Genomic DNA, 21309 nt, shown 5'->3' on the forward strand with positions numbered 1-21309 from the left:
AAAATATCCCAAGCACTGATCTTAGGCTTTACAATAGTGATGTTAGCCTCAAGATGCAATTTGGGAAGGTTCGGAATCTTGCAACTTCCAGCTGCATGACTCTTAAACCACAATTTCTAATCTTGCGGCTAATTTGTTAGTCCTGCAAAGGCAGTCTTGTCCCCAGGCAGGAAGGGGGTTTGTCTGGGGAAAGGGCTGTTATCGTCTTTGTTTCCAAACTAAACTATAAACTAAGTTCCTCCCAAAGTTAGTTCAGCCTACGCCCAGGAATGAACAAAGACAGGGTGGAGGTTAGAAGCAAGAGGGATTGGTTAAGTCAGATCTCTGTCACTGTCATAATTTTCTCAGTTATAATTTTTGCAAAGGCATTTTCACAAATGGAGTAAGGGAAAGAGAGGAGCTGAAGGAGCTGGTCTTGAGGAAGGAAAGCCCCCAGGTAGTAATTGTCACCTGTGCTCCACAGCCTGGCTGCTAAGAAAGAGTTCCACTGTGAGACCTGGCAGGGAGTGGAATATCTAGGACTGTTTCTAGACAGAAAGAAAGACAGAGGGCTGGGCTAGCTGGGCCTTGGATTTAGGGTCCTGGATTCAGACCCTCCCTGCGTCCATCTCCCACACCCACATCATGCCCTTGGGCTTCCTTTCCGTTCATGCTTCCTGGCCCTGCCTGTGTGCACATTCAGATGTTCACCGTCCCCATCCTTTCTCTCCAGCAGTGATGGAGGCGCAGGGGCCTGAAGCCTGGGAATGCATCTGCAGGCCTTGCCTGGGAACAGGGAACACGTGGACCCCACTGCCCACTCTCACACCCTAAGTGACCAAGACCTGTTTTTCTTCTGCATGTGATGTTCATTTTGCTCAGCTAATCCTCAAGGCCCAGCTGGCAGAGGGGTCTTCCACAGGAAGTACAGTGTCCCGCAAATATGTTTCCCTTGGAACCAGGCCAAGGGAGGGCCACAGCAATGATGGTCCACAGCCTCAATTAAACCTGGTTTCCAAAGGGTTTGGGGGGCTCTGTGGGGAAAGGGGAGGCAGAGAGTAGAACTTCCTGCAGCTTCCTGGCTTCAATCAGAGCAGCTCCAGTTTTTAATGTATTACATATATGGAACATTGATGGCCCGTGATGACCTTAGCTTTAAATAACTGTTCTGACATGAATGAATATGTGCATGTACGTATGTACACATGCATGTATAAATATGTCTACACATATGCATATACGCATAGATGCATGTAGATGCTCACTGATGATCTTAGTAATGATGGTTCATAATTTGAGGCATTCTCTGAGGGTGGTACCTGTCCCATAGCAGGGTCTCAAATATTTGATGCCAGGTGTGGTGGCTCATGCCTGTAACCCCAGCACTTTGGGAGGCCGAGGTGGGAGGATCACTTGAGCCCAGGAGTTTGAGACCAACCTGGGCAACACAGTGGGACCCTGTCTCTATAAAAAATAAAAATTAAAAAATTATCTGCGTGTCGTGGTGCATGCCTATAGTCCCAGCTACTCGGGAGCCTGAGGTGGGAGTATCATTTGAGCCCGAGAGGTCGAGGGGGCAGTGAGCCATGACCCCACCACTGCACTCCAGCCTGGTGACAAGCAAACAAAAACACAAAAATATTTGATGTGTGAACAAATGAAAAGTTTGGTAGAGTGTGTTGTGGGGACAGCAGTATGGTGTGAGGGAAGGAGAGAGTTCAGTCTATTATAATCATTAGTCTATTGACTTGTGGTAATTGAGCTATAGGAGATAAATTCCTACTTACTCTACACATTTAATGGACTCTTCCTCCCACCCCATCTTCCCTGTCCCTTTCTTTTTCCACAGCAGCTCTGCAACGGGCCAATAGCTTCCAGTCTCCAACCCCAAGCAAATACCAGAACTGGAGGAGAGAATTCTGGTGGAGTGAGTCACTAGCTCTCTGGGGGTGGGAGGCTGGGGCTGGGCAGAAGATCTCTGGTTAATTCTCAGGGGCAGCCGTTCTCATTCCTTACATGGTATCTCTCTGGCATGGCCTCCTGGTTGTCAGAGGCAAGAAATAAAATATAAGCTTGACTTTATTTCCACTGCTGACTAGAGGGAGCCTTTTCCAAGGGACTCAAGATCTTCCCATCCCCCTCCACCCCACCCCTGGCTCAGGAATTATGGAGCCTTAGGATTCTACAGTTTCACCCAGACAGGGCCTTAGCCATCATTGCCTCTAAGCTTTTTGAAATACAGATGAGTAAACTGAGGTTCAGGAACTCTATGATTTGATTCTGTACACTGGAGTGAGACTGGGCCATCAGATTAACGGCCTCACACAAAACAGGATGCTACACACAGACACCCACACATCCACACACACACACATGCACACGCACACACACTCACACCCCTACACATACACACACATACACACCTGCTCCTTTTTCTGAGTCACCCTTGGTCCCAGTGTCCTGGGGAAGAGCAGGGCTGTGGCAGGTGCTGAGGCGGCAGGCCCTGCCAGGGGGCGCAGTGAACACGCACAGTCTCACAGCATCTAGGCAGGCCGGGGATCCAGGGACTGCAGCACTCACTGAGCAGAGTTACCTCCTCAGGCCCTGAGCGAGGGGCAGAGACTCTTCATCCAGTTCCAGGCTCATCGCTGCCTTCCACCTCCCCCCACACCCACTCCCTCTCCAGCCTCACCCTAGGAGAGGAGGACCCAGAAAGGCCTTGGCTTAGACAGGGGTTTCTACCAAGAAACGTTGTTGCAGTTGGAACTGAGCCCTGGTCTTCCTTCCTTCTGAGTCAAGGCTCCCAGCCAGTGAGTCATTCCCCCACCATCCCCAGACGCACCACCGTCACACCAGGTCAGGCTGGGACAGGGGCACCTTGGGAGCAGGACCCAGGGCTGCACTCTTGGGCAGGCCACTTCATCTGAGGACAGCCTAGAGTCACTCCTGAATCCTCTGACAGCCCCCAGCGGCGACAGCAGAGGGCAGAGGAGCTAGCATTGCCACACATGGGTCATCGCCTTTACTGCCCTGCTCTGGCCCTCCCCAAGTCCCTGGAAGCCTGCTGCCCAGGCCCGGACTATATGAGTGTAGGGTCCATCCCAAGGCTTCCAGCCCACTCTACTGTGTGCCACCAGTGTGGGGGATCAGTCCCTCCTCAGGAAGCTCCCAGCCTGGGGTGAGAGCAGGGAGGCTGGTGGGAGACCCTCCCAATAGGGCTGGGTCGCTGGGGGAGGTGCAGGAGCAAGAGGACTGCTGAGCAGCCCCATGGTGTCTGGGATGGGCCTGGGAAACTCAGCCTTTAGTTATCAAGGAGTATTGCACAGCGTTTCTCGAGAGTATACAAAAGCTGCTTTGAGGGCAGGGCTTGAGTTTTGATCATTTCAATCAGCCTAGTGTCTAGCATGGTCTGGCCCGGAGGAGGAACCCAATCCTTGTTTGCTGAATCAATGAATGAAGTAAGGAACCAAGGAGCGAGCTGGCTGGACTGCGTACAAAGGGAGGACATGGATTCAGGCCTGCTCAGGCTGCCGCCCCTAGAGGGCGCTCCAAGACTTTGAGGGGGATTTGAGCCTTGCAAAACCTCCAAGTTCTGGGAAGCTGCACCATGGAGTCCCAGTCTCCCGAAAATCCCCAGAGCTGAAAGCCACGAGAGCCATCTTTTTTATTGTCTTTACTTTGCCCAAAAGAAAACCTCAGGGAGCAGGGCTGGCATTGCCATTGGGAGCAGAATGCATGGTACCATCCCTCCTGTCCAGAGGCATTACTGCCCCATCACAGCTGGTTCTGGCCCCAAGCCCCAGGTGGGAGGGCCGGAGGGGATATGTGGCTGCCCTGGGCACCCTCCCCAGCTGATCATGCTGCCAGATGACCTCTAGGATCTACGAGAAAGGTTGCTGCTGCCAGAGGGCCCAGAGAGGAGGTAGCACAAGCGCCTGACCCAGAGGCAGCCTGGATGCTGAAACTCAGGCGCTGGTGTGCGCATCAGCCTCCTTCGCACAAAACAACCCTAAGGGCCAGCTGCACGTGTGACTGAGACCCCTGCAGAAGGCAAGGCAGCCCCCGGTGGGCCATACCAAGGTTTCAAGGAAACGGCCAGCAGAGGGGGATGTGAGTTGGCCAATGAGGAGCTCTTGGCTCAAGAGTTGGAGAAATCCTGGCTGGGTAGAGTGTGCAGCCCCCTCTGGAATGGGCCAGGGCTTCAGCAATGTCTTTACTGGACGCGGCTTGAGTGCGTGAGAGGGTGGGAAACTAATGGAGTTCATATTTTGCTGACAACTAGCTTTTACTTTGTGTCCTGTGCCACTGGGCACCTCTTGTTTTTTTTTGTTTTTTTTTTTTTTCTTCTTGAGATGGGGTCTCACTTGGTCACCCAGACTGGAGTGCAGTGGCGTGATCTCAGCTCACTGCAATCTCCGCCTCCCAGGTTCAAGTGATCCTCCCACCTCAGCCTCTCGAGTAGCTGGGACCACAGGCGCGCACCACCATGCCTGGCTAATTTTTGTATTTTTGGTAAAAACAAGGTTTCGCCATGTTGGCCAGACTGGTCTTGAACTCCTGAGCTCAAGTGATCCATCCACCTCGGCCTCCAAAAGTGCTCTGATTACAGGTGTGAGGCACCATGCCTGGCCAACTGGCAATCTCTTTTTAGCCCATGTTATCTGCTCAACCACCCCATGAAGCTGCACCAGACAGCCCACTTTTTGGATGAGGAGACAGGGGTTAAGTAACTTGCTCAGAGCCAGGCAGCTGGTATGTGTGTGAAGGAGTGGACTTCCAGGCTCCCCTTCACCATCTTCTGAGAGAACCCCAAGACACAGTGGGCATCAGGAAGGGTAGGTTTCTCATCACCTCTCTCCCCAGGCTGTGCCCACCTCCCAAGCAGTGGCTTGAATGGCAGCCCAGGGACAAGGGGCTCGGCCTGAGCTGGGGCTTTGCTTCCCCCATCTCCTCAAGCCCTGCTGGAGTTCCATCTTGAAGGCAGTGCATGAGGACCACATGTGGAGAGAAAGAGACCCCCTAGCAGGGGTGGGAGTGGGGATTAGAGAAAGGAGAAGAAGGGAGTGGCTTCTGGGTCATGACCTCGTGAGACCTGAGGTGTTTCTGTCAGGCTTGTTTCCTGAGGTGGCCCTGGCTTCCTGTCAGGAAGTCCCTGAGGGATCCTCAGGGGGAACAAAAAGGCAGTCTGTTGAGCTGAGGGGACTTGAGGCAAGTGAAGGAGTTTGATTCAGAAGATGGCAGAGAGGGAGAATGAGGGTGCAAGGAGGAAGGGAAGAAGGAATTTGGCAAACTGAGGACAAGAACGGGAAGCAAGGCAAGGACTGACTCACAACTTTTGCCTTTTTAGGCTTGAACCTTCTAATCGTGGGCTGCGATGGGGGTGCGGTAGTGGGAGGCAGGCCAGCCGCCTCCCCAGCAGCTCCTTCCTGCCGCCCTCAGATCAGATCTGTTCCCAGAATTACCTTTTCCCTCCAAAGCTTTCTGCGAGGCCTCCCTCTGGGAGCTTGCTGACCGTGTGCGTGTGGTGCCATCTGTTCAGAGCCCACGGCTGGGACACACAGTCGCACATGTTCGCATTGATGTATGGGGGAAGGCAGGACAGAATATCGAGAACGGTGTGGCCTCCTGGGGGTGGAGGGGACTCAATGGGACTCTTCTTGGGATGGGACTTGGGTTTGGCCTGGCCTGTGTGGGTCCCTGAGGAAGAGCTTTTCACTCAGAGCTTTGGGGAAACTAAGACCAGGGGATTGTGTTGCGCTAAGAAGTGGATGAAAATCTGAAGGCTACACACCCTGCAGGAAAATCTGAATGGGTCCGCTGAGTGGCCAGAAGCAGGGAGTTGAACAAGAGAGTGGACTCGTTCCACGTGGAGGTCCTGGGAAGTTTCTGGGGGACATCCCTACGTGCCACCACGGTTCATGGGAGAGCTGGTTGGGCTGGGGGTAGGTACTGAGAGGGCAGATCTGAAAAAGAGCATGGCATTTTACTGAATCAATTTGAGGACAAGTGATCTCAAATGACCCAATATGGAGACAAAATGTTTGAGATTTTAGATTTAAGGTTACCATGCTTGAGGGGAGGAAGGGGAGAGCGGGAGAAGGAGGGGAGAGGGAGAGGAAGACAGTGCGCACATGTGAGCTTGGTTGATCTTACAGTAGGCTATGACTGTCAGAATTCTGCTCTAAGCAGACTAGATGATCTCAGCCCCCCACAGCACTGAACCAGGCCTGTCCTCAGGGCCCTGCCCCACTCCTTTCACCTCCATCTCTGAGTAGCCACACTGTATCCTGTTTGTTCCCTGACCAACAGGAGCTTGGCATGGGCCCACTCCATATCCTTCCAATGATTTGATACTCACTGTAACCTCCCTCTCTTGTGTGCTCTTAAAATCTCAAACGACTCTTCCTGTCTGAGAGCCTCTTGGCACACATATGAGAAGAAAGAGCCCATCTCATTAGTCGTGGATGTCTATCCTGTCTGTGCCCATGGCTAAAGGTCTAGCATCTTGTGGGAAGAAAGCTCAGGTGGTTTATTGACTGAGTGATTTAACACAGCCCAGCTCCCAACCACAATGGTTTTAGGATGCTCTTTGGAGGCAGATGAGCATTTCTAAGAAATGTTCTGGAAATGCCCTGATACACCTCTCAAGAGCATCATCGCATGAGTCTGAAACACAATGGTTATTAGACTTCTCACCCTGGGACTTCCTTTGCCCCACGGGACCCTGCCACTGCTCTACCCATTCCTCTGAGTCCCACGCCTTGGGCACCAGGAACCTCTGAGTCAGGCTCTGACATCTTCCTCTTTCTGACTGTTTATAGAATTGGAGCTTCACTTAAAGCCTCCTCTTTTCTTGATAAAATAATAACACCTTTGTAATGAAGAGTGTGTTCTTTCCTTGGTAGGTTTGACGCCAGTGAACAAAAGAACTATGTCACCTCCTAAGGACCCTTCTCCTTCTCTTCCTCTTCCTTCATCGTCTTCCCATTCATCTTCCCCACCATCTTCTTCTTCAACCAGTGTTTCTGGGAATGCTCCAGATGGTTCCTCCCCGCCTCAGGTGAGTGTCCCTGAGGGTCCTGCCCAGGTGTCAGGAAGCTAACCTACCTGTACTCTTCCCACCTTCCACACTTATCTCTGGATTCCACGTGCTCATAGGTCAACCTAAGTGCAAAGCCAGCGCCAGAAGATACTCTGTCAAGGGTCTACCCCAGCTGCCTTCATGTATACCTTTCACAAAAGCTCCTGCTGTTCCTTCACAGCCATCCCTGAGGACACAGTCATTCCCTCAGCAAACTTTACAGGGTTTAGACTCCATGCCAGGTCTCCATGAGATACAGAGCTGCTAGGACACCTTTCCCTTGAGAACTTGCAAAGGGCATTGAGGAATTTGCAGCTGTAGGATGGCAGGCACAGAAGTGAGGGTCCCTTTGGTAGGGTCCAAGAACCTTGGAAGCAACATCTCCCTTGAATATAAAATGTCATCATTGGTATGCAGGCTGGACTCTTTCCTTCTGTATGTATTTATCAAGCCTCTGTTACCTGCCAGGCCTGTTCTAGACTCTGGAAAGTAGAATGCACAAGACAGAAAAGATGGGTGCTCTGGTGAAGCCCCTGTGCTATGACCTGCCCTTCAGGCACCAGAGGTCTTGGGAGGGCACAGCCACCCCTAGAGTCCACTCATGTTCCCTCTTTGCCAAGGGCCAAGTTCCTGCATGCTAGAAATAGCTCCTTTCTCAGTGGTGCAATGTGGGAGGTTAAAAAGGGTCATTGAAAGGTCTTAAGGGCCATCCTTGTGCCACCACAGCTTCAGCCCAGAGAGTGACTGTCGCTTCTTACTTTGATGGCCTCCAAGGAAGAAGCCTTGGTTTCTTGGTTGTTGGAGGAACATACCTATGGGTGGATCATGCCTTTTAGTACAGACAATGGCTGAGCAAGAAAATGAAGAGCTTATCTTCCCCTATGTGCCTGGCCACCCACAGAGGCCCAGCCAGTCCTACCATCATGGGCCCGGGAGCTTATCAACAGCAGTGTCCTACCTTTGCCTTCCCCCTGGCTTCCAACCCAGCTAATCTGGGATTCAGAAAAGCCTTTCGTCAGTACTGATTCGGGGGTTCCAGGCAGATCCTGGCAGGACCCAAGGCAGCTACTTAGAACAAAGAGTATCCCTTTAAAATCATCTTAGGCAAAATTATTTTTTAATTTGGGCATCTGAGATGGGAAGAAAAAACAGGGAGGGGGTTGTAGATTGAGATTTGCTTTCATCATATAAATAAATGATGAAAATTTTTAAATAACTGCTATTTTTGCCCATCCCATCTAGATGACAGCTTCTGAGCCCCTCTCGCAAGTCTCGAGAGGTCATCCAAGTCCTCCCACCCCAAACTTTCGGAGGCGAGCCGTAGCCCAAGGAGCACCCAGGGAAATTCCCCTGTATCTGCCTCATCACCCAAAGCCAGAGTGGGCAGAGTACTGCCTGGTGAGCCCTGGTGAAGATGGCCTCTCAGACCCTGCAGAGATGACTTCTGATGAGTGCCAGCCAGCAGAGGCCCCTCTTGGGGACATCGGAAGCAACCACAGAGACCCACACCCCATCTGGGGGAAGGACAGGAGCTGGACAGGGCAAGAGCTATCTCCCTTGGCTGGAGAAGACCGGGAAAAAGGGAGTACTGGAGCCAGGAAGGAAGAAGAGGGAGGGCCAGTGCTGGTAAAGGAGAAGTTGGGCCTGAAGAAGTTAGTCCTCACTCAGGAGCAGAAGACCATGTTGTTGGATTGGAATGACTCCATCCCTGAGAGTGTGCACCTCAAAGCTGGGGAGCGAATTTCCCAGAAAAGTGCTGAGAATGGTAGAGGAGGCCGTGTGCTAAAACCAGTCCGCCCCCTGCTGCTCCCTAGGGCAGCAGGAGAGCCCCTGCCAACCCAGAGAGGGGCCCAGGAGAAGATGGGGACCCCTGCGGAACAAGCTCAAGGGGAGCGAAACGTGCCTCCACCCAAGTCCCCACTGCGGCTCATAGCCAATGCCATCCGAAGGTCTCTAGAGCCCCTCCTTTCCAACTCTGAAGGCGGGAAGAAGGCCTGGGCCAAGCAAGAATCCAAAACTTTGCCCGCACAGGCCTGCACTCGCTCATTCAGCCTTCGGAAAACCAATTCCAATAAAGACGGGGACCAGCATTCCCCTGGGAGAAACCAGTCCTCAGCCTTTAGCCCTCCTGACCCTGCCCTCCGCACCCACAGTTTGCCCAATCGGCCATCCAAGGTCTTTCCTGCACTTAGGTCCCCACCCTGCAGCAAGATTGAAGATGTCCCCACACTCCTCGAGAAAGTGAGTTTGCAAGAGAACTTCCCAGATGCTTCTAAGCCTCCAAAGAAAAGAATCTCACTTTTTTCCTCCCTCAGACTCAAAGACAAATCTTTTGAGAGTTTCCTCCAAGAATCCAGACAAAGAAAGGACATCAGGGACCTCTTTGGCAGCCCCAAGAGGAAGGTGCTGCCTGAAGATAGTGCGCAGGCCCTGGAGAAGCTGCTGCAGCCTTTCAAAAGCACCTCCCTGCGCCAGGCAGCTCCTCCTCCTCCTCCTCCTCCTCCTCCTCCTCCTCCTCCTCCTACAGCGGGAGGTGCAGGTAAGTGGCTCTGTCCTGATAAATGTCTGCCCTTCATGCTGGGCAGTTAGTAATCTTCATTGCATCGACAAGCAGGCATCTTTCACTTCGTTTTGCTTCTCAAATACTAACAAAAGTAGGAAAACTTTAAAGGCAAAAAATTTGAAAAAAATCTGAAAAAATTAGTTTTGAAATTATAGAAAGTTGAAAAGAGACCAATCAACCATAACCCTACGACCACTTTCTCATTTATTTTCTTTCTTTCCATAGGAATATTTTTTACTAAGTTGTACATAAAATTTTGTATCTTTTTTTTTTTTTGAGACAGAGTCTCACTCTATCACCCAGGCTGGAGTGCAGTGGCATGATCCCAGCTCACTGCAACCTCTGTCTCTCGGGTTCAAGTGATACTCATGCCTCAGCCTCCCAAGTAGCTGGGATTACAGATGTGTGTCACCACGCCCAGCTAATTTTTGTATTTTTAGTAGAGATGGGGTTTTACCACATTGGCCAGGCTGGTCTTAAACTCCTGGCCTCAGGTGATCCACCCATCTCAACCTCCCAAAGTGTTGGGATTACAGGCATGAGCCGCCATGCTCAGCCTCTTTTTTTTTTTTTTTTCTTTTTTTTTAGAGAGACAGGTCTTTCTCTGTCCCCCAAGCTGGAAGGCAGTGGCCTGATCATGGCTCATTGTAGCCTCAAACTCCTGGACTGAAGCACCCAGCTAATTTTTTATTTTTTGTGGAGATGGAGTCTCAATATGTTGCCCAGGCTGGTCTCAAACTCCTGACCTCAAGCAGTCCTCTCACCTTGACTTCCCAAGGTGTTGGGATTACAGGTGTGAGCCACTATGCCTAGCCAAAAATTTTGTATCATTTAAAAGTCAACATTATATCATAGATATTATGCCAATTACCATGTAGTATACATAAATGTGATTTAATTGAATATCCTGTCTGGTGGGTATGTTATTTAATGAACTATTGTCTTATTGTTAACTTATATTTGTATATATGTTATATATGCATATATTTATATTTTACATACGGTGTTGAATGAACATCTTTATGCATATAATGTTTTTCCCTTTAAACTCCTAGCCTAAACACTTACGCATATTTGCATACCACCAATGAAAATGTAGGCTTTTTAAATAATTTAAACCTGATTAAAATTTTTAAATTCTAAAATTAATATATCAAATAATCAGAGTAATCCAACAATATGGAAATATCTAATAAAAACTAAAATGTATTATCTCATCCCCTCTCCTCCTTGCCAAAGTTTTAGTCTATTCCCTTAGAGACAGTTTAGCTAAACATTCACATGAGTTCTTTTTTGTCGTTGATACTTGTTTGACTGCTTTGAACAAACTGTGATCCTACCATCCCTATTGTTGATCAACTTTGTTTTTCTTTTTTCCTAAAAAGCTTTTTTATTTTCTTATTTAACTTCTATTTTGAAACATAAGTTTTCAAGTAATATATTATTTCTCTTCAGTAGTACCTTAATCAAACAGCTGTATAGATTAACAAGAGACTTTATTTTCAACCAGGTTCAGGATAAGCATGGAAAGGCTGCAGTATAACTCTTAAACATGCATAATAAATTAATAAACTATTAAACTTTAGTTTAATAAATTAAATAGATTATTTAATAAACTACTAAAATGCATAACACATTAAATTTTGTGATGTGTGACATAAGGGTATATTATGTCACACATCACAAAATTTAATGTGTTATGCATTTTTTGATAATACATTTGCATGGTTCAAAATCAAAGGGTACAAAAGGTGCAAAATAAAAAGTCCTCTTTCCCTTCCTTGTCCCTGAGCAATCCAGGTCCTATCCTGGTGATAGATATTGTCATCAGTTTCTTAGGCATTCCTGCAGACAGAATTTATGCATGTAAGAGCAAATTTATATACTATATTTTTTCTTTTTTTAACACAAATGATAGCATGGCAGCATGCTGTGTGCACTTTTTTTGAACTTTTCATTTTATTTTGGAGCTCATTCCATATTAGTACGTAAAGCACTTTCTTCTTTTGTTTTATAGCTGTACAGTATCCCAGTGTGTAGATGTAACATAATTGATGTAGCCAGCCCCCTATGATGCAAAGTTTAAGTTATTTCAAATCTTTGGCTATTGCAAACAGTGCTACAATAATTAACTGATAGCTTAGGCCATTAAGCATGTGCGTGAATTTATCTTTAGGATAAATTCTTAGAAGTGGAAATGCTGGAGCAAAGGATATGTGAATTGGGAATTTTGATAGATATTGTCAACTTGTCCTTCATCACAGTGTGCTTGTTCACATTCCCAGCAGCAAAGTATGAGAACTCGATTTCTACATTTGCACTAACTGGTGTGTTACTGATCTGATGGTGAAATATAGATTTCGGAGTGGTGTGAATTTCATTTTTTGTTTAATAACGTGATTGAACATCTTTTTATATGTTGAGAAGCCATTTGCATCTCCTTTTCTGTGACCAGTTGATACTGTCCTTTGTCCAGTTTTCTATTGGTTTGTTGGGTTTTTCTTAATAGTATGTAGGGATTCTTTATCAAAAGGGAAATTTAACCCTTTTTTGTAATGATACAAATTACAAGTACTTTTTACCAGTTTCTTGTTTGTGCTTGACTTTATTTACAGTGGCTTTTCTTATGTAAAATTTCTAGCTTTATATACTAGTTTGAAACATTTTTATTGCATGTCTTCTGGGTTTTATATAGTAGTTAGAAAGAGCTTCTTCCAAGTTTGTAGAAGAATTTTCTCACAGTTTCTTCTAGTCTTCTTGATTGTTTTCAATATTTTTACATTTAAGTATTTACATCAAGAAATTATCCTAGTATAAAATGTGAGCTATAGATTCTGCCTTACTTTTTAGATGTTTCCCTGGCTATCCTAAAAAATCAGTGAATAATCTCTCTTTCCCTCTCTTATGTGAGATGACGTATTTATCATATATAAAATTCCTGAACTTGGACTTATTTCCACACCATCTATTATATTCCATTTAGTTGTCTGTTATATATCAATACCACACTGTTTTAAATTTCTAATTTTATGTATTTATATATTTTTTTATTTTAGGTATTTTACTATCTGATAGGAAGAGTATTCCATTATTGATTTTCTTTTTCTAAAATTTCCTGGCTCTTCTTGCTCATTTGATGTTCTATATGAACTTAGTATAAGCTTGTCTATCTACCAAAAAAAAAGTCCTGTGAATACTCTCGTGGGATTGAGTTAAATTTATAAGTAACTTGGCAAGAACTTATAAAATTATGATATGAGTTATCTTTCCATTTGTTCATGTCTTTTTTGTGACCCTCAGGAATATTTTACACTTTACAGCACATAGATCTAGCATAATTATTAATTTTATTAATAGATATATTAGTTTTTGTTGCTATTGTCAACAAGATATTTTCCAGTTTATCATTCTACTGTTGTTTGTATATATGAAAGTTATTGATTTTTGTGTGGTAATTTTGTACCCATCCATTTTATTAATTCCTCTTTGTTATAAAAGTTTTTCAATGGATTCCCCTGAGTTCCCCCCATATATACAATCATAACACCTGCAAATTATAACTTTACTTTTTGCTTTTAAATTGTATACCTCTGATTTATCTTGTCTCCCTGGTTTCTTTTGTTTCTAGAATCTCCAGAACAATGTTAAATAAAAGTAGAGATAATTATTTCCTTAATATATTCCTACTCATAATGAGAATGCTGCTGGTGTTTTTCCCAGTTAAGCATGGTAACTGGCTTCTGGGTTGACTGAGATATATTTTATCATTTGGAGGAAATAGCCATCTAGTTCTATTTCGGTGAGAGTATTTTTAATCACAGATGGATGTTGAATTTCATCAAATGTCTTTTCAGCATCTTTTGAGATGTCTGATTTTTTTCTCCTTAATTTGATTAATATTACGAATTATATCGTAGATTTATGGGTATTGAACCATCCTTGCATTGCTGAGATAAATACCACTTGGTCATGATGTGTTATTACTTTGTCTTATTACTTTACATGATGTCTTATTACTTTTTGATTATGTTTGATAATTTATTTAACATTTTTGCATTTAATTCATAGGTAATATTGGCCTACAGTTCATTGATATCACTTTTATATGATTTCTGTATGTGCTAATTACAATAACTTAGGGTAAATATATTTTCCTGGCTTGCTTAGCATGGAGAGCTACATTCATTTATATTCATCAGAAAATAGTATGACTTCCTTGCCTTGGAACAGAATGGGAATGTACAGAATGGAATTAGGTTAGAGTTAGCACTGGAAGTAGTGCCTGCACCTATTTCTTAGAAGAGTTTTGTGTTTCTTTCAAGTGTTCTTAGGTCAGTATCCTAAGAATGTAAAGATTTTACCTAGCCTATCAGATTAGACCCATCAGTCTTTTTTTTTTAGTTTCCTTGCTCAGTCCACCAAACACACACTCACATATATGCACTGACACTGTTGCCTCCGCATTTAACTTGGGGGTGCACACTTCCATGCAATGGAGAGAGAAAACAGCATCATGCTCATTCAAATTGAAGTACCTAATATTTATGATCATTTGAATAAGAGCCAGGCTGAAATTATTTAATTTGTTTTTATTTTTATAAGACAACTTTCCAATTAAATTAATGGTGTACATAAACTTATCAGCATATTTGAATGACTTGGAGGCATAAACTAATTTCAGGTACTTGTCAGTGGTCATCTTATAGAAACAATTTTAATGCTAGTTATCATTCTTGTGTATAATTAAAGAACATGCCCTGAGAACCTTTAATTTTTTGCATAAACGTTTTTATTGCAGTATTACATACATACAGTAACATCCGCAAATGTTAAGCCTACAGCTGATGAATTTTTGCAAAATGCACATTTGTGTAATCGCCCCTGAGATCAAGCTATAGAATGTTATCAGCACCCAGAAGACTCCCTCATGCTTTCTCCCCATTATATGCCCTGCCCAACAAAGGTACTTCTCATCTGCCTCTTATCATCTTAGATTACTCTTGCAGTTTTTATTTTATTTGGTTTTACTTTATAAAAATTGAATCATTCATTATTGTGGTAGGCAGAATTCTAAAAGGACCCCATGCTTCCTGCTCCCTAGCGTGCTTGCTGTGTAGAATCTAGTCCTCTAGACTGGGCATGGTGGCTCACAAATGTAATCCCAGCACTTTGGGAAGCAGAGGCGGGTGGATTACCTGAGGTCAGGAATTCAAAACCAGCCTGGCCAACATGGCAAAACCACGTCTCTACTAAAAATACAAAAATTATCTGGGCATGGTGGCAGGTGCTGTAATCCCAGCTACTTGGGTGGTTGAGGCAGGAGAATTGATTGAACCCAGGAGGCACAGTTTGCAGTGAGCTGAGATCACATCATTGCCCTCCAGCCTGGGCGACAAGAGCAAAACTCCATCTCAAAAAAAAAGAATCTAGTCCTCTGGAATACGGTGGGAACATAAATATGATGGATTTCATTTCATCCCATGATTAAGTTAGGGGATTGTGCAAATATAGTTAAGCCCCAAAACAATTCACTTTGAGTTAATCAAAAGAGAGATTGTCCTGGGTGGGCCTAACTCAATCAGATGAGCCCTTAACAAGGACTTCCTGAAGTCAGAGACTGGATTCATAGCTTGAGAGAGACATGGTCCTCCTGGGCTTGAAGAAGTAGTAAATTTGCTGTGGTGTGGGAGGGCCCATGAACAAGAGGCCTCTAGGAGCTGAGATTGACCTCCAGCTGACAAGCAGCAAGAAAACAGACCCTATGCCCTCTAACCACTAGGAAGTGAATTCTGCCAACAAACTGAATGTGCTTGGAAGAGAACCCTGAGCTATAGATGAGACCTGCAGCCCAGCTGACACTTTAATTGCAGCCTTATAAGACCCTGAGCAAAGGGCCCCATTGAGCCATGCCTGGACTTCCAACCTACAGAACTGTAAGATAATAAAAGGGTGTTGTTGTAAACCTCCAAACTTGTGGGAATTGGTTCCACAACAATAGAAAAACCCATACAAGTATATACTCTTTTGTGCCTGGCTTCTTTCATTAAACATTCTGTATTAGTCCGTTTTCACACTGCTGATAAAGACATACTCGAGACTGGGAAGAAAATGAGGTTTAATTGGACTTAACAGTTCCACATGGCTGGGGAGGCCTCAGAATCATGGCGGGAGGCAAAAGGCACTTCTTACATGGCAGTGGCAAGAGAAAATGAGGAAGATGTGAAAGAGTAAACCCCTAATAAAACCATCAGATCTCATGAGACTTTTTCACTATCACGAGACTAGCACAGGAAAGACCAGCCCCCATGATTCAATTACCCATCCCTGGGTCCTTCCCACAACACATGGGAATTCTGGGAGATACAATTCAAGTTGAGATTTGGGTGGGTACACAGCCAAACCATATCACATTCTTTGGAGGGGATTTATCCATGTTATGTGCAGAAGTGGTTTGTTCTTTTCCATTGCTCCATTTTATTCCATTGTATGACTATATCATAATTTATTCGTGCCTTCTGTTTTTGGGCATTGAGGTTGTTTTCAGTTGTTCTGATTGTGAATAGTGCTGTTAGGAGCACTCTTATACGTACGTATTTTTGGTGTACATATGTGCTTGTGTCTGTTGAGTATTGCTAAAGATAAATAAAGCTGGACACTAGTTAAAACAGTAAGGGCAGATTTTAATCAGTAACATGCTATTGCAATAAGATAGAGGTTCCAGTGTAAACTGAGCTCAACTTCAATTTCTACAGAAGTGACTGAGTGTTTTACAGGGAGAAGGAGGGCATAGGGAGGTGGTCAGGCTGGGGCTCAGTAGAGTCAGGGAAGTGAAAAATCACAAAGGGCTGGTCAGTGTCCATGCAGGTTAGTCCAGCTGCATCTGTTAGCTGGCAGTTAACAAAGTCAGAATTCTGTCTTTCCACAGAGACTGGGAGACAGTGGCCCTATCCTTCCGATGATTCCATTTCAAAGGAATGGCTTATCAGGTCCTTGAGAAAGACACTCCTGAGTTGTAGGAGATACACATATGTCTCAAACGGACAGAGAAAGGATTCATGTTGTAAGCTCTTTTTAATAAATGTTCTGAGAACAAGTGACAGTGGTGCCTGTCATCCCGTGTCGGCTAAAACAAGCAGTCCATTATTCTGGCAACCTTGAGTTTTCTTAGGCAGGAACTTTAAGGGAGGCTATGGCCATCTTAGTGATTGGGTCCTGAGCTTTCAGAGACTATGTTAGTGTTTGTTTAAGCCTTTTAATGTGGAGAGAAAAGGGATGGACAAAATCACTTATGTCGCGAGTCTGTTCTTTTCATAGGCCAAGGTGAGGCCTAGTTAAGAAGAGGATTCAGAGGAGCCTGGCTCGGGTTTGGTTAAGAAAAGAACATTAGCATATACCTGGGGTGGAATTGCTAGGTCATAGGGTAGGTATGTATGATAGTTTTAGTAGATACTATCAAACAGTTTTGCAAAGTGGTTGTACCAATGTATATACTCTCAGCAGGGAATGAGAGCTCCCCTTGCTCCACATCCTTGCCAACACTTGATAGTCTCAGCTTTGTTTTGTTTTGTTGATGTTGCTATTTTTACAGGTGTACAGTGGTGTCTCATTATGGTTTTAATTTGCATTTGCCTGATAATGATTTTGCATAACTTTTCACATGCTTATTTAGATATTCTTCTGTATGAAGTCTCTGTTGAAGTCTTTTGCCCATACTTTTATTGTGTTGTCTTCTCCTACTCTTTTGCTCCCTTTTTCACTCTCTAATGATGTCTTTGGATAAACAGAAGTACCTTTTTTTTTTAAGAGACAGTGTCTCTAATAAAAGCCTGGGAATGCAGTGGCACAATCATAAAGTACAGAAGCCTCAAACTTTTGACTTCAAGCGATCTTCCCACTTCAGCCTCCCAAGTTAGCAGGGATTACAGGAAGATGCCACTGCACCTGGCCAGAAGTATTTATTTTAATAAAGCCAAATTTATCAATACTTTCTGTATTAGTTCTCACACTGCTATGAAGAAATACCTGAGACTGCATAATTTATAAAGGAAAGCGATTTAATCGAATCACAGTTCCACATTGCCAGGGAGGCCCCAGGAAATTTACAATCGTGGTGGAAAGCACCTCTTCACAGGGCAGCAGGACAGAGTGAGTGCAAGTAGGGGAAATGCCGGACGCTTATAAAACCATCAGGTCTGTGAGACTCACTCACTATCACAAAAACAGCATGAAGGAAACTGCCTCCATGATTCAATTACCTCCACCAGGTCCCACCCTTGATACATGGGGATTATGGGGATTACAGTTCAAGGTGAGATTTGGGTGGGGACATGGAGCCAAACAATATCACTTTCCTTTATTGCTGTTGACGTTTGCATCCTGTTTATGAAATCTTTCCCTACTCCAAGGTCATGTAGATGTTCTCGCTTACCTTCTAGAACTGTGCTGTCCAAATACAGTAGCCACTGTTTCATACTTGAGATGTAGCTAGTGTGAATGAGGAACTGAATTTTTAATTTTTAAAATTTTAATTAATTTAAATTTAAAAACTGAAGCAGTGTAAAATGGTTTTCTATTAAACACAACTTTATTTGATAGGGTTACATTTCACTTTAACCATTAAAAATGTATCATCTGAACAGAGACATACTATATGTGTAAAATATGCATCAGATTCTGAAGACTTAGTATGAATGAAATAATGTAAAACATCTCATTAATAATTCTTGGCTCAGTGCAGTGGCTCATGCCAAATGATGTTGCATAACTTTTCACATGCTTATTTAGATATTCTTCTGTCAGAAGTCTCTGTTGAAGTCTTTTGCCCATACTTTTATTGTATTATTAGCCCTTTTGTCATTGATTTGTAATCTGTATAGATTCTGGATATAAGTCCTTTGTTAGATATAAGAACTTTGAGAGGCTGAGGAAGAGGATTGCTTGAGTCCAGGAGTTCAAGACCAGCCTGGGCAACATAAGGAGACCCTGTCTCTATAGAAACTAAAAAAATTGGCCAGAGATGTTGACACATGCTCATAGTCCCACCTACTCAGCAGGTGTGAGGATCACTTAAGACCAGGAGGTCGAGGTTCAGTGAGCCACGATTGCACCACTGCACTCCAGCCTGGGCAAGAGACCAATACTGGTCACAAACAAATAAACAAATAAATAAAAAGTTGAAATGATATGATTTTTGAAATTGGTGGTAAATAAAATATATTAAAATTAATTTTATTTTTAAAACATTTTTTATGTGGCTATTAGAAAATTTTTAATTACATGCATGGCTTGTATTATATTTCTATTGGACAACACTGTTACAGAAGCCTTATTATTTTTCCTTTCACAGTCATATCTATGATGAAACTGGGATAGATTTTTGGGTATTCTGTGAGGTAAGGTGAAGGTTTACTTTCTTCCATGTTGTTATCCAATCAATTAAGCAGCATTTATTAAAAAGGCCATTCTTCAGCCAGGCACGGTGGCTTACACCTATAATCCCAGCACTTTGGGAGGCTGAGGCGGGCAGATCACCTGAGGTGGGCAGTTTGAGACCAGCCTGACCAACATGGAGAAATCCCATCTCTACTAAAAATACAAAAAAAAATTAGCCGGGCGTGGTGGCGCATGCCTGTAATCCCAGCTACTTGGGAGGCTGAGGCAAGAGAATTGCTTGAACTTGGGAGACTGAGGTTGCAGTGAGCTGAGATCGTGCCATTGCACTCCAGCATGGGCAACAAGAGCGAAACTCTGTCTCAAACACACACACACACACACACACACACACACACACACACACACACACACACACACACAAAACATTCTTCTCCTCCCACTGTATTACAGTGACAGTTTTGTTATAAATTAGGCAGTCTGTTTTGGGTCCTTCTCTTCTGTTTCACTGGCTGGTTTGTCTGACCTTGTTCCTGAATCACACTGTTTTCATTATGTGGTTTTATAATAAATCGTCATAGTCTAGAGTAAATCCTTCACTTTGTTCTTCTTCAACATTGTCTTAGTATTCTTGGCCTTTGCATTGCCATGTGACTTATGGAATGAATTCATCAATTTCTACAACATTTGCTGGGAATTTGAATGGGATTGTATTGAATCTATAGATAAATTTGGGGAGAATTAACGTCTTTGCAATACAGTAGTGTCCCCCTTATCCACAGGGGGTACGTTCCAAGACCCCCAGTGGATACCTGAAACCATGGATAATACTGTATTAGTGCATTCTCACACTGCTATAAATATACTACCCAAGACTGGGTAACTTATAAAGGAAAAAGGTTTAATTGACTCGCAGTTCCACATGGCTGGGAAGGCCTTAGGAAACTTACAATTGTGGCAGAAGGGGAGGCAGGCGCATCTTACATGGTGGCGGGCAAGAGAAAGCATGTGCGAGAAGCAAAGCGGGAAGACCCCCTTATATAACCATCATATCTCGTGAGAATTCACTATCATGAGAACAGCATGGGGGAGACCACCCCCAAAATCCAATCACTTCCCTCTCTCAATATGGGATTACAGGTCCTTCCTCTGACACTTGGAGATTAGAATTGGAGATGAGATTTGGGTGGGAACACATAGCCGAACCATATCATTGTATTTACTACTACATTTTTTTACTGTACATACATACCTATGATAAAATTTAACTTATAAATTACCACAGTAAGAAATTAACAACTAATGATAGAATCATTATAACAATATACTGTAATAAAAGTTGTGTGCCTGTGACCTAGCTCTCACAAAATATCTTACTGTAGTGTACTCACCTATTTTTTTACCACAGTCAACTGTGGATAACTGAAACTGAGGCAAGTGAAACTGTGAACATGGGGTACTACTGTAGCGAGTCTTCAAATCCATGGACGTGATACATCCCTGAATTTATTGAGGTCTTCAATTTTTCTTAATGTTTTCTAGTTGTAGAGACCTTGTACAATTTTCATTAGATATTTTCCCAGGCATGTGGGGTTTTTTAAATGCGGATTCAAATGATATGGTTTTTAATTGATTAAAGACGTTTGATAGCTTTAGAATATTGAGTCTTCCATCTAAGAACACCTTATAGCCCTCTATTTAGTCAGATTTTTAAAAATTATTTACATTTTACAGTATTGTTGATAAAGGTATTTTGCATTTCTGAAGGTTTATTTCTAGATAGTCATTTTTCTTGCTTATAATACACAAAAGAAAAATACTCGTAAGTATAGAGCTTTTCACACATTGAACACATACATGTAATAGGAGTTAGATGAAGACGTAACATTACCAGAACCCCAAAAGTCCTCTGTTTCTTTCAGTCACTAATCCCACATGGCTACCATCTACCACAAAGATAACCACTGATTTCTAACAGTATTCATTAGGTAAATGTAACCTTTTCTTTCAACATTTTTTTTTTGAGATTTATCCTCATTGTTTCTTGTGGTTGCATTATTCTTCTGGTACACTATATTTCATTGTGGGAATATACAGTGATTTATCTGTCGGTTCTGTGATTGACTATATGGTCATTTAGGTAGAAAAACAATTGAATTCATCTACTCTACCAAACTCTAATTTTTTATTGAGGTATAATTTACATGCAATAAAATTTACCCTTTTAAAATGTGCAGTTCCATGTGTTTTTACAATTGTATATAGTAATGGAACTGCTTCCAAAATCAAAATAGAG

The 21309-nt window shown here is 43.7% G+C and overlaps 1 protein-coding gene across 1 annotated transcript in view; it reads left to right on the forward strand.

Annotated features, from left to right (window-relative positions):
- The window catches only part of MICAL2 (microtubule associated monooxygenase, calponin and LIM domain containing 2), a 251551-nt gene that overhangs the window by 174669 nt on the left and 55573 nt on the right, over positions 1–21309 (forward strand). The window contains exons 29-31 of the mRNA NM_001393937.1: positions 1829–1906; positions 6885–7039; positions 8303–9599. Of these exons, the coding sequence (NP_001380866.1) occupies positions 1829–1906; positions 6885–7039; positions 8303–9599 (1530 nt within the window). The remainder of the gene's footprint in view (positions 1–1828; positions 1907–6884; positions 7040–8302; positions 9600–21309) is intronic.

The sequence above is a fragment of the Homo sapiens genome, chromosome 11 (assembly GCF_000001405.40).
Source record: "Homo sapiens chromosome 11, GRCh38.p14 Primary Assembly".
NCBI classification, from domain to species: domain Eukaryota; kingdom Metazoa; phylum Chordata; class Mammalia; order Primates; family Hominidae; genus Homo; species Homo sapiens.